Source organism: Homo sapiens, chromosome 3 (genome assembly GCF_000001405.40).
Source record: "Homo sapiens chromosome 3, GRCh38.p14 Primary Assembly".
Classification (NCBI taxonomy): domain Eukaryota; kingdom Metazoa; phylum Chordata; class Mammalia; order Primates; family Hominidae; genus Homo; species Homo sapiens.
Genome location: NC_000003.12, coordinates 65,347,580 through 65,361,661, shown reverse-complemented (window position 1 = coordinate 65,361,661; position 14,082 = coordinate 65,347,580). Strand labels below are relative to the sequence as shown.

The following is a 14,082-nucleotide window of genomic DNA, read 5'->3' as shown; positions in this document are numbered from 1 at the left end:
AGGCAGGGGGAGATTACACAGGTTGTGAATGCAAGGAGGCAGAAATCATGGGAGCCTTCTTAAAAGCTGCCTACCCCAACCATTAACATGCCCTTACTGCTTTTTTTCCCCCCTTTCTCATGTGATTTGGCATATATGTAGTTTTCTAATTTTCTTAATTGTCTTTCCCTCTTTAGAATATAATCTCCATGAGGGCAGGGATTTCTGTTTGTTTTTGTCACTGCCACCTCCAAAGCAATAGATGTTCTGCCACGTGCTTAATAAACATTTGGTGAATCCGTACATGAATTTCAAATCTCACTTAGTTTTCTTTTGCTTTGGCAGATTGGTGATGAAATTTTAGAGATCAATGGTGAGACCACCAAAAACATGAAGCATTCTCGAGCTATAGAACTGATTAAGAATGGTGGCCGCAGAGTTCGTCTGTTTCTGAAGCGGGGAGACGGCTCAGTACCAGAATATGGTGGGTCAAACTATGAAAACATTCCTTCCTTCCCTGGCATGACTCCATGAATTTGTCTCCAGAACGGCAGCAGGAAAGTCTTTTTTGTTTCCCCTATTCACCAGTGTCTTACCAGCCTCTCGCACCATGTGATTATTTGCCTCGCTTGTTCTGAAATCTCTACACATTTCATCCTTTTGCTTGCTTACGTGGACTGGGGCATGGCCTAAGACAAGATCTTTATAGCCCCCTTTCTGATAATCAGAGAGAACGTTTTGTCTAGTCCGACCAAGAGCGAAGGAATGTTTGTTTGTACTGTGCCAAACTGTTCCTCAGATCCAATTGTTAGCACAAAATGACTATATACTCCTTTTAAGAAGCAGGAAAGCAGGTTTCCTGAGTGATATGTTGAGGCACAATTATTTTTTCCTTTTTGGTTACTTGGTGTCTTTATTTAAGAGGCATGAAATTTTGAGAGATTTGGGGGCTTTGCTAACCTCCCTTATGCTCTGTATACAACACTTCTCCATCCCCCAACTGGTGTCTTACCCCAAATCAGACCATCTGAGCCCACTACTATCAAACAAACAAACAAAAACTGTTAATATATTAGCCATAATGTTTTTAAATGATAAAGGATGAAATAAATTCCCAGTGCTCATCATGAGGGAAACATGTGACTATACCTTTCCTATGAGGAAAGCCAGGTTATACATAGAGTTCCTTTGTCATATCTTTAGACTTGATTTGAGTAGACAGCAATGATCTTTACATAGCTTAGTGTTCTGATGGCAAAATATTGTATATGATAATAATTATGTCCTATTTATTTGAGATTTGTGTTTAAAATTAAAAAAAAAAAAAAAAAGAAGAAGCTATGCCCTAGATGTAGGGCTTTTTTTCCCAACCAAAGGTCTACCAAAGTTTCTATAGAAACTGTGATTGAATGGTCCCCAGATACGTTGGTCCCCTTTATTAGGGATTTATCTATTATCACCCTCTTTTCTGAAAGTCATTCTGCACAATTCTCAGTTGCATTTTGGACTTGATGAGATGTTTAATTCAGATGCAGCTCAAGGAGAAGGATAGCTCCTTGGAGGGCCAGCCTTCCCAGGTGTTCGACATTTGTACAGGTGCAAAATACGAGGGGTCCGAGGTACAGGGGGAGGGTGGGTATTAGACAAGGCCCCTATAGACATGGCCAACCACAGGGGAAGTATTTTGACAACATTAAGATGCCGTGGCTGTGCACTGTACTGAACTTCTGACCATTAGGTGTATTGATACCACTGAAACTGTGTAACATTGTCTCCCTTTTCTGTCTTCCCTATGCTTCTGTTGGATGTGATATTTCATTTGAGAGTCATCGTCAGTAACCTGTGTACCTTCTCAAAACCTATGTCTGTTGCACTGAGGATGAAAATCCAACACTAACAAATGTTCTTTGGGCTAAAAATAAAGATCATTTAAATACATGGTTTTCCAAGAAGGGTTGAACCTGCCACAGGGTTGTGCTACTGTAATGTCTCCATGCGTCACTTGGACTAAATCTCTCTAATTCCATTGATTAGAGTCACAAATGGGTTATAATATGTTAAGTTCCAATATTTTTCTGACTTGATTGGAACCTGCTTCTCTGTGAGGCTATTTTTGTAATGAGTTTTTTGTACTTAATTTAACTGCCGCGGTCTTTGGTGGGGGTGGGAAGGGATTTTGTTCTTTTGTTGTTTATTGTTAATGCTCTCCTATGCCAGCCTGTCATTGTTCCAGTTGTTTGAAAAAACAAAACAAAACAAAACAAAAAAGGATGCATTCGTTGTCTGGGTTCTCGAGTCACCTTATGGCTGTCTAAAAATGTCACTGTTCCGATTGCGGTCTCTGCAGCCTTATTTGAGTGTTGCCTTAGACTGTCTGACTGGACAAATAAACTCTCTTTGCCCTATGTTAACAAATGTAGATTTTTTTTCTTTCCTCTGTGTTATAGGGAATCTAAATGTTCAACTTTTTCTCTTTCTCTCTTTCTCCTTCTCTCTGACTGTTCTTGGTGCTGGGCCCTCCCTTCCACAGCGATGATACCTCCTAATATCGCTGCATGTATGAGAAATGAAAAGCTCGGGGAGGCTTGCTTCTACCTTATGGGCCATAATCAAACTACGGTTTGTAGCTCAATCAATACTAGGTGTTTCTGTGCTGTGGCCTAATTTCCTCATTGCTTCTGCTTAGCTCTGTTTTGATATGTTTGGCAATTCATTCTGAGCACCCTGCGTTCTTTGAATTGTAAGTACAACGCTGACCCTGTTGAAGTGTTGCCTTCCCTTGTCTTAAAAGTAGGCATAAGAAGCCACTGGTGATCCAAGTGCCTTCCTGTATCCACATCTTCACATGACCTTTGTTAAGAACCTGTTTTTTGTTCATTCTCGTAGCCAACCCAGTATTTAGAAAGAATGAACCTTGTTTCATGGAGCCCTGTATCGTAGGGCTTTGCTAGATGGGAAGACGAGATTTCCTGCTTGGTCAGGTATCTCTTTGCAAACTGCAGTCCATGGGCCCAATCCTGTCCATAGCCTGTTTTTGTAAGTAAAGTTTTATTGACACATAGGCACGCCCATTACTTTTGTGTTGCCTGTGTTTTTATACCACAGTGGCAGAGCTGAATAGCTGTAACAGAGATGGTGTGGCCCAAAACACCCAGATTATTTACTATTGCCCTTTAGAGAAAGTTGGCTGACCCCTGCTTTTGGCTTTTCACTTGCTTTTTGTTAAAAACCCACTCTAGGTTTTGGGAAGTTGTCATGAAACAGGTTAATTGCTAAATATTGACCTTGTTGGCTCATGAAAGATCCTTAAAGAGCCCCAGTGACCCCTTAGTCTCTGACTGTCATACAAGTCTGCCCTCCAGACTGCAGTGCCTTGTTTCAGGTGCTTTGCTTGGAATGGTGTCATGTGGATGACTTGTTGGGTTTAGTTGCAACAAAGCATCCTAGCTTTGAAAAGAGCTCTCCTCAATTCAGGACACTGCCTAAAACATTTGCACTGTCATTTCAAATATTGAATAATGATAAATAGGGGCCATTATGGGCTGCCCTGCTTTTAAACCTGTAGAAACCTTGATGTTATAGGAAGCAGCCCAGTGACTCCAAGCTCTTAGATGTCATTATGACTGCCTCCCATGTCATAAAGAAAAAATGCCTCTAAACCAAAAATTTTATTTGACCCCCATCCAATCTCAAATGTGTACTTAGCAGCTTCTCTTCCCCTACCTTTTATCTATCAGAAAACACCTTTTAAAAACAGTTCCTTATTTTTTAATGTGTGCAAAAGTAGAGAACGTAGTTGAATAATACAGATAGGACAGTTTAATGGGCCCTTGCGTACATATCCCATTTGCCAGTCGTCAACATCTGGCCAGCATGTTGCCTCTGTAATCCCCTTTGCCTGCTACCCTGGATTTTTTTTAAATAGAAGTATACTTCTGCATATGGTAAAATGCATAAATCCTGAATATACAGTGCAGTAGATTTTTCACTTCTGTATGCGCCCATTTAATCACCACCCAGATAAGATGTAGATGATTCCTGCCCTGCTCCAGAAAGCTTCCCAGGTGCCCCTTCTTCACATCAATACCCTAAATTATTTTTAAGTAAATCAAAACAAGTATTCTTTAAAGCAAAGAATATTTTCTTGGGTGTGGGAGACGGGTGGGCACAGGGGAAAAGGGTTGGGGGGGTGGGAAAGGAAGAACAAGGGATAGCTACAGAGAGGAAATTTTGATGCCTCTAGACAGACTATTTGGATTGTGCCTTTAAAGACTCAAATCATGACTGATTTTTGTCAGTTCTTTAATGATCTATGTCTCGGGTATGGAGAACATTCAGTCAGCCAGACGCTGAAAGCCACAAGTACTAGTTTTTAACCCTAACTACGTGCAGTTATCCTTAAGTTAACAGATTCAGTTGGCTTTGAGTCTGACTGCTTTAACAGTTGTTTGCTTGTTGTGACTAATGAGGTCTCGAGTGTGGGTGGGAACGGGGACAGGAGCCGAGGGACCTTCGTACCCAACTGTTGCTCTCGTTTATTTTCCTGGCAGACCCCAGCAGCGACCGCCACGGCCCCGCCACCGGTCCACAAGGTGTTCCGGAAGTGAGGGCCGGGCCCGACCGCCGGCAGCATCCGTCATTGGAGTCCAGTTACCCACCCGATCTTCACAAATCATCACCACATGGGGAAAAGCGGGCACACGCAAGGGATCCGAAAGGCAGCAGAGAGTATAGCAGACAACCCAATGAACACCACACCTGGAATGGGACTTCGAGGAAACCCGACAGCGGGGCATGCCGACCCAAGGACCGGGCGCCGGAGGGACGGAGGGACGCGCAGGCCGAGCGCGCGGCAGCCGCCAACGGCCCCAAGAGGCGGTCCCCAGAGAAGCGGAGGGAGGGCACCCGCAGCGCCGACAACACTTTGGAGAGGAGGGAGAAGCACGAGAAGAGACGAGACGTCTCTCCGGAGCGGAGGCGAGAGCGGTCACCCACCCGCAGGAGAGACGGCTCCCCCAGCCGGCGGAGACGGTCTCTGGAGAGACTCCTGGAGCAGAGGAGGTCCCCCGAGCGCAGGAGAGGGGGCTCGCCCGAGCGCAGGGCCAAGTCCACCGACCGGAGGCGCGCACGCTCCCCCGAGCGCAGGAGAGAGCGGTCCCTGGACAAAAGGAACAGAGAGGACAGAGCCAGCCACCGAGAAAGGGAAGAGGCGAATCTGAAACAGGATGCCGGCAGAAGTTCCAGACATCCCCCGGAGCAGAGAAGGCGACCTTACAAAGAATGTAGCACCGACCTCAGTATCTGAGACGCTGAGTCACATTCCAACCTTTACCGTGTCAAAGGTTCTAAGAGGAAAGTCACAAACCTGAAATTATTTAGTTTCTTACCTAATGAAGCATCTGACACCTGATGATCCTATGAATAACAACAAACATTTTATGCATTTGAAATCTTATAAGAAAAAATATATATGAAAAGTATTGTGCCTGATGTATCATATTAAAGAAAGTATTTTTAAATGCATACTTTTTTGGAAATTATTTGCCAAATGCTGGCCCAAAGGGATATAAATTTTGTTTCTACGTAACCTGTAGAATCGTCAAGAATTGTTCCCGTTTTGGGGCAATCTTTTTCTCTCCTGGTTAAATGGGGCTGTTGATCATTTTCTCTACGTAAGGGAATTTATTGATTAAGTTTAATTAATTTGATATAGACTGTCATGTAGTGATGTAGTGCTATACTGTAGTCGGAAGTTTTTCTTAAAAGCAAAGAGCAAAAATGCAAAGTTTTATTTGTAAAAGCTGAGGACCCTTGGGGATGGATTAGGTTTGCCGATGATCCTAAAAGTAAGCAAACTGTATGACAAGACTACTATTGCAAATGAAGGATATTTATAGCTAAACTGCGCAGCACAAAGAAGTTTTATATTGTGAGTTATAGTTGGTTCAGAAAACAGTTTGTACTCTCCCTGGCCCAGGAAGGCACACAGACAAAAATGTCGGCCACTTTTACTCAAATACAGCCCAAGCACAGACAGTCAGGTTCGTGATCATCACCAACATCTGATAAAATCTCATTGAAGGCAATGCCATCACAGCTTTGCTCAATTACTACGAGGAAGAGACAACAAGCATCTTTCGTGTTGTCTCGTCTGATTGGAGGCTGAATAGTAGATGGAATGGGGGGACAGTGTGCCTGGTGTGAGGAAGACGTAAGATCCCCAATTTGGAAAGCATGCCCCCCTCCCTTTTAGTAGAAGCCCATGGTTGCCCTTTGCCAAACTGGGGAGGAGGCAATGAGCCTTGGTGGAAGGAACCTCTCTGTTGATATTTAAAGAAGTGAGGGCTGTGGGTATTCATTGTTAGAAATGCCAATTTCACTTTGAAACCATAGTCCAAGTCTCTAGGTTGGTAGAAGGGAAAGGAAGGAAGTGGTCCCAGTGATTCTAGGTCTGGTTGGGAAACTTCTGCCTCATGACTCTGTCCTTTGAGTCCTTTGGACAGCAGCACAAAACATAACAATTTTTATTTTTAAACAGACCCATTCTTTTTGATCCCACAGGAGCTGTGGTTGGGTCGGCCGTAGCCCCGGGATGTGGTTTAAGTGGATTACTGCCTAGCTGAGCCAAAATGTTTGCTTGTACCTGTTGGACCACTACAGCAAACCGCTGCTTACAGTGCATTGTGTATTTCTGTAGTACTGTTTTGCATTTTCCATAGAGACAGAAAACTTTGCAAGTCAATCACTGTTGTTCCCATGGTACTGTAAGAAAAAAAAAAAGGAAAAAGAAAAAAAAAAAGAAAACCAGCCAATCATTGCGTGTACAGAGCTAAAAATTGTAATTAATAGAGCCTGTTGGGAAAAAAAAGAAAACAACTGTTGCCTTTTTTTCTTGTATAAAAGAGAATTTATGACAAAATTTAGCTGTGAGGAATGTGATACGTGTTTATATTTCTGAATATGGAACAAATTGATTCATGGGGATATATTTTAATGTAAACTAAATCAGGTATGTAAAGTTGTTTTAAAATGGGAGACTATATAAGTAATTCTCTAAAGCTTTAGTTGGTTTGAATATCATCATTTCCTCCATGGTGAGCCTGCTTGTGAATTATTAAGCACTTGTTTGCATTCTCTGTTCTTCACTCATTTATTTCTTGCAGTGTGCTATGGACTTAATGCTCTTTCTGTATTGATGAAAAGCAGTATGTGGGCCAATCTTTTTATAAAACACTATGCATATATAAATATTACATTGTTCATAGCTTTATTTGACTTATGGGTTTATACATAACATTAGAATGAGTAGCTGTAGTTGTGTGGACATTTATAAAACAAGTTCCTTTCCTGGAACAGACACAATATACATTCTGTAGCTAAAAAGGAGGGAAAAGTCTGTGAATGCTATTTTTATTATTAAAGTTTTCCATACAAAGCATACATTGAGCTGTAGTAAGGCTGAGGAAGAGTACAACTGAATAATGATGTTCTTTTTCATCAAGTTCCTAAGAGCTGACTTGGAGATTTTATTCCCAGGGCTCCACTGCTAGGATTCTTCTCACTAGTTCTAACAAAATCTGTGATGTTAAATGACTGATGCTCTCAATTGTGATCCAGAGTTTTAAATAAATGAAATCAAGGTGGATTTTGGGAATATATCCTGAAGTTAACATCTTGATGTCCTTCTTGTTGTAAGATGATATTTGGCAATTTAAAATCTATGTGCTACCCACCTGGGCTTGTCTCAATCCGTGGACTTTTTGGTGTGGCAGTTTCACCTGAATTCCACACATCAGATTTGTTTGGAAATATTGTACTGTACAGGGACTATGCATTATGCAGAAAGATATAGTTTTCTTTGAACTGCTGTAACCTTAAATTGGAAACTGATTCTTGTGAGCCTACTTTCCTTAATCCCGCCGCCCCCCTCCCCCACTTAATGTAAATGTCTTGATGAGAGATAATGGATGAGTATTTTGTATGATGAAATCAAACGATTTAGGAATTTGTCTCCCTCCGTTACACAGTTGATGCCTGAAAGAATGTTGGGGGGGAGGACTCAACACCCTAATTGTATTTTTTAAGTTTCTTTTGTGAAAGATTTTTTAATGCATTTTTACTGTAAAAATACATGGAAATGTATGCATTCCACAACCACTATTGCTTCTGGATTGATATCTTCCTTGTCTCTATGTTGTCTCAAATGTATCAGGGTCAAGTAATCAATTGAGGGCCCCTGACTCCAACTTGATGAAATGCCGTTGTGTTGAAAGAGCAGGATCTATGCCATTGCAATAGCATAGTGCCTTGCTACTCAAAGTGTGGTCTGTGGACCAGCTGCCTCATCATCACTGAGGAGCTTGTTAGAAATGCAGATTCTCAGCCCTACTCCAGACCTACTGAGTCAGAATGTACAGTTAATAAGATCCTCAGCTATGCCTTATGCACATGAAAGTTTAAACAGCACAGCACAGTATAGCACAGAACCCTGATAATAAAACAAATCCTGCCAAGCTAAGAGCTTCATCACTTCTGGTGTGATTCTTGGGCACATTCCTTAACCTCCTCTGAAGCCTCCATTTCCTCATCTGTAAAAGGACATACTTCACAGAGCTAAGAATAGATACACATCTTTGGCAATCAGAAGAGTCCTCAGTAAATGACACGAACTTTTTTTTTTTTTTTAATTGAGGAAGATTTCTGCGTGGCAATGAGTACTCTACTCTTTTTGTTGTCCTGGTTTATTTTCCAATCAAAATAAATGAAAAAAACTTTTTTTTTTTTTTTTTTTTTTTTTGAGACAGGGTCTCACTCTGACGCCCAGGCTGGAGTGCAGTGGCATGATCGCAGCTCACTGCAGCCTCAACCTCCCAGGTTCAAGTGATCCTCCCTGCTCAACCTCCCGAGTAACTGGGACTGGAGGGGCATGCCACCATGCCCAAATAATTTTTGGTATTTTTATAGAAATGGGGTTTTGCCCTTTTGCCCAGGCCGGTCACAAATGCCTGGGCTCAAGCAATCTGCCCAACTCAGCCTCCCAAAGTGCTGGGATTACAGGCATGAGCCACCGTGCCTGTAAGAAAAAATTATTTTCTCACTCTATTAAAATGGGGAAGAAGGCCTTTTAATTATGAATAGTATAGTACATACTATTCAACAAAATACTACACTTAACCATTGCTGAGGAATATGAAACCAAAATGCTGTGCTGTGAAAACTGAGACAAAGTCATCTCTAAGTCTAACTTCAGGAGGTAGATGTGTGTGGAATTAGATATACTCCCAAGTCACACTAGATACGAAAGTTAACCATTCTCAAGTGACCTAACGTTCGTGGGGGTGGATCAGGTAGTGTTGAATAACTTTCCAGTTTCCTTCACACAGTTTTTGGTTGTTCCTTTTTATGACTTAGTGTTTGGGGTTTTCCTCCAGAACCTAATCTCCTGGGCGTTCAAAAGGCATTTTGTTGAATAGTAGGCCTTCCTCCAACCCATCTCCTTTGCTGTATTTTGCTTTGTCACCAGGATGGTAATTATGAACTCTGCTCACTTCCCTAGTATCTCCTTTATAAAAGATGGCATCTCAAAGTGGTCCCTGGCTTAACCAACAGTTGAAGCTGTTTGTAAAGCCCTTATGTCATGCAAGTTCTTTGCCTGCCATAAACAGCCACACCAAATGTGCAGAGACTCAATTATGCCGTCAGGATTTTTCCAGCTGGGGGCAATCCGAGACCACCTTTGGTGGCCTGCATTAATCATAAAAGGAAAAGCCCTTTCAAGTTCCTCCAAGCGATTTCTCCTTTGAGGCAACACCATCAGCATCGTGGATGTTTAGCACAGTGAGATCCAAGTGCTTTGGCAATACAAATCATTAGAAGCTTATGTGAAGGGAAATGCCCTCTCCAACACAATGATTTAGGGTATTTTTTGCAGGAGTGGATCTTCTGTGAAAATTGTTTGACTACTCCCTCCCACCCCTAAGTGATGTCTTTATGCATTGTGGTCATTGTCAGAGGCAAGAGGAGTGTGGCTTTACTTCATTAGTGTAGTTATTAGGTGTCCAATGGATCCAAAGCACAAGATCTCTTTGCAAGTACATGGATTTAAGCAAAGTAGTGATAACTGTTGAATTATACAGTAAATACTCAAGTATTGCATGCGACTGCTACCCTTGACTGCATCACCTTTCCACCTAACTGAAAAGTCTTTATTGTCATGTCTCTGGAGGGAATAAAGGCATGGTCTTCACAGCTGAGAGCTCTAAACACCACTCCATTAAGTGCTGTACTTTATATTTATCCCTCAGAGAATAAATTCTCTTTGGTCTCATAAGATTGTGGAATTGAAGGGAAAATATCTCAGAAAGGCTGTTCATTCCTGCATGTGTAATAGGCAAGGCTTGCTACTCTATTTCTCATTTCCTCAACACATTTATTGAAGATCAGCTCTGTGCCAGGTACATGGTGGGGGCTAGAAATGCCTGGTTCCTGGTCTCAAGTGCTCGTAGTTGGTGGGGAGAAGACAAATGCTTGCAAACTGCATACCAAGCAGAAGCACGGGGTCCTCTGATAGCAACTAATAGGAAATTTAGCCAGATTGAAGAAGGTTATAATTCAAGTGAGGCCAGAAGGAAGAGGAAGCTAATCAGTGAAAGAAGGAACAAAGTGCAGGCTGAGCAAAGGCCCAAGTGCAAGGGAGTGTGGTCTAGAAGGGAAGGGTTGCATTGTGAAGGGAATAAGGGTTGTGCCAGGCTGGACTTGTTCCAGATTGTAGACTTCAGAATAACAGAAGACCACTGAAGAGTTTTAACAGGGCCTCCGGCGAGCTGTGTGTGTGTTCGGGGAGGGAGAGGTGACCAGCTCAGGTTTAAGTTTGAGAAAGATGGCCTCACAGCACCATGGGAGAGCGGACTTGGAGAGAGGTGGAAAGAATCCAGTTAGCCACCGGGGCTGTCCAGGGCAGCAATTGTTACCACGAAAACCCCTCCTGTACCATGCAGTTCTCAAAGTTCAGAAGTCCCCAAGCCCATGTTTACCTTCCTCTTACTAAAAGAGTTCATTTTATTTCCAACCTAAATCCTTCAGCTTCTCTTCCCTATACCTTAATTAATACGTGCAGAACACTTTGTACCCAATTTCTTCTGTTAGGTAAGGTCCATCATTTACTATTCTACTGGGTTTTCTACAGGTTTACAAATTCCCACCTTACTAGCCTTTTTTTTTTTTCCAGATCCTTGTTTCAAACCTAATCTTATTTTCATTTTTTTTAAGTTGACCACATCTTTCTCAAGTTACAGAAGCCTGTCTATGTATTATCCAGTCTTTGCTAGCCATTCCCCATGTTTGAGTGTGAAGAAAGAAACCACTCAATCCTATGATACCCCATTTTTAAAAGCAGTTTTTATTTACAAAACGAATTCATATTTACAATACGAATGCATATTTACAAATGCATATTTACAATAAAAGATTCAAGCATTTCAGGAAAGTATAAAAAGTGACATTCTTCCTTACACCTGTCAATCCCAATCCACAGAAATAACTGTTATTAGCAGCTTGATTCGTGACATTTCTAGTCTTTCTGTGTGTGTGTGTGTGTGTGTGTGTGTGTGTATAACTGTATGGGTATATGTGTACGTATATATAGTTTTTATGAAAAAATGGGCCATTAGCCCTTACTATGTTATGAACTGTTCCTTTACCTTACATATTGTGGGTATTTCTTCAAGTTAGGAGTATGTATGTATATATAGATATACACACACACATAAAAATAAAGCCTTTTATACGTCACTCATTCCCATTCTTTGTCCTTCTCTCTCCCCCACTCTTGGATTAGCTTCCTTACGGTTCTCTCTGCCTTTTCCCTGTGCCACCTACAGATTCCTCTCCCTGTAGCAGGCAGAGCTACTCTTTTAAAATGTCAAGTGAAAGGTCAAAGTCCTTAGAGTAGGCTCTGAGGTCCTCCGGGATGGGGTTGGCCCCTCTTTTCCACTCTGGCACACTCAGCCTTAGGGGCTTTGCTCTAGCTGGTCCCCTGCCTGGGACTGGTCTTTCCTCAGATATCCACGGCTGACTCCCTCCCTTTATTCAAATCCTCGCTCAATTGTCATTCTTCCAATGCATCCTACCCTGATCACCCTATTTAAAATTGCAAGTTGTGTCCCGTGTTCTACTCTTTTCCCCACTGCGGCACTCAACACCTTCTAACGTGGTGTGTAATCTATGTGCTTACTCATGGTCTATTTTTTTTTTTTTTTTGAGATGGAGTTTCACTCTTGTTGCCCAGGCTGGAGTGCAATGGCACGATCTCAGCTCACCGCAACCTCCGCCTCCCAGGTTCAAGGGATTCTTCTGCCTCAGCCTCCCGAGTAGCTGGGATTACAGGCATGCGCCACCATGCCAGGCTAATTTTGTATTTTTAGTAGAGTCGGGGTTTCTCCATGTTGGTCAGGCTGGTCTCAAACTCCCAACCTTAGGTGATCCGCCGGCCTCAGCCTCCCAAGGTGTCTATTGTTTATCACCTGTCTCCTTTATAATCAGGGCCAGCTTTGTGGAGATGCAAACTGTGCACTCACACAGGGCCTTGCACTTAGAAGGGCCCTTTGCTTGATTTAATGCTCTGCTCTCATGGTCTTGAATTTTCAGTAATTTTTGAATAAGGACCCCCACATTTTCAATTTGCACCAAGTCTTGCCAGTTACGTAGCTGGCCTCTTCTAGAATAAGTTTCTTCATTAAGTTTCATGAGGGCAAGAATCTTTGTCCTGAATCTGATGAATTCCAAGGTCCTGGAGTAGTGCCCAGGACATAGTTTGTATACTCAGTAAACAAAAGTATTGTGCTGTCTCTTCATAGCTGCATATTCTAAAGTTGACCACAATTTACTTAACCAATCCTCTATGGACACGCAATTGTTATTACAAAAACATGCTGCAGTGAAGAACTTTATACTTTAAAACCTGGTACCATTAAGTGGTTTGTTTAAATAGTTTTGAAGAGATAAATTGTGACTCCTAATCCTCCTTTTTTCTGGTGACACCGATGTTACTGAGAATTTGCATTCTTTTATTGGGAGCAGCTGTTTTTAGCAAAGTGCTTGCAGTCTGTGGGACCTTTTCCCATCAGATGAGAGTTACCAGGCTCAGCGGAGCCGCTGAACCAATGGTTCGTACCTTGGGTGCACATTGGAATCACCTGGGGAGCTTGAAAAGCGCTGATGCCTGGGCCCACTTCCAGAGATTCTGATGTGGTTGCTCTGGGTGTAGCCGGGGTTTATAAAAGGCCCCAGGTGATTTTAATAGAGAGCCATGCCCTTGTCCATCAGCTTTAACCCCATAGCCTGATGGGGATTGAATGTGTCTGCTTTGCTTTCTCTTTTCTTCATAAGGTGTCTATGCTTGCCTTTTTAAGGTTGCGATGATGCAGCAGCTCAAAGAAAAGATGGTGTGAGATTATTTTCCGAAAGTAAACTAAACAACCTTCCTACTTGCACAAAATTATTAGCCAAATATAAACATAATGGACATGTATATATCAATTGTGAATTCTGTTTTACATTCCTGTCACCACTGAATTTATTCACTAATAAGGACAGTTGTTCTCAAGAACAGGTCAGAAACACCATCATTTAATCAAGATTAAGCTATAGTATTTTTTCACTTAAATTCTTTTGAGAAATATTTTATGTTCTTATTTAAATAGAACATGTGGTATGTTAACAAGAGAATATTGAATAGTTGACAATCAGCAGTCATGAAGAGGGAAAATTATTTCTAGCAAGTTCTTGGTTTCCAAAGTATTTATGATGTCTCTGTCCCCATCTCTACCCACAAATAATTTTAGCAGGCAACTTTGGGGCTGAAAAATAATTGTGTTATGAGTGAATGAGTGGAGTGTGACATTCCTATGACCAAAATAACATACAAGCCTTAAAATTTAGGGGAAAAATACTCTTGGGAAAATGCTACTGACAAAAAGTGTCATTTACGTAGAAGCTCTAGTATTTATGTAAGCAACTCTAACACTGGTCCAGTCCAGTGACCCAGAAGGTACCATTGATATGACCAGCCCTAATTTGGGACCAAAGGAGAAATCAAGAGTACAT

At 41.9% G+C, this 14,082-nt stretch overlaps 1 protein-coding gene across 6 annotated transcripts in view; it reads left to right on the top strand.

The window, feature by feature from the left end:
- The window catches only part of MAGI1 (membrane associated guanylate kinase, WW and PDZ domain containing 1), a 685,393-nt gene extending 677,257 nt beyond the window's left edge, over positions 1 to 8,136 (top strand). For 3 of the 6 annotated variants that reach the window (NM_015520.2, NM_001365904.2, NM_001365903.2), the window contains exons 23-25: positions 325 to 463; positions 2,510 to 2,598; positions 4,530 to 8,136. In NM_015520.2, coding sequence (NP_056335.1) covers positions 325 to 463; positions 2,510 to 2,598; positions 4,530 to 4,586 — 285 coding nt within the window. In that variant the 3' untranslated portion in view covers positions 4,587 to 8,136. Of the gene's footprint in view, positions 1 to 324; positions 2,391 to 2,509; positions 2,599 to 4,529 lie in introns of those variants that run through there. The other 3 variants (NM_004742.3, NM_001365905.1, NM_001033057.2) reach the window with 2 other exon arrangements.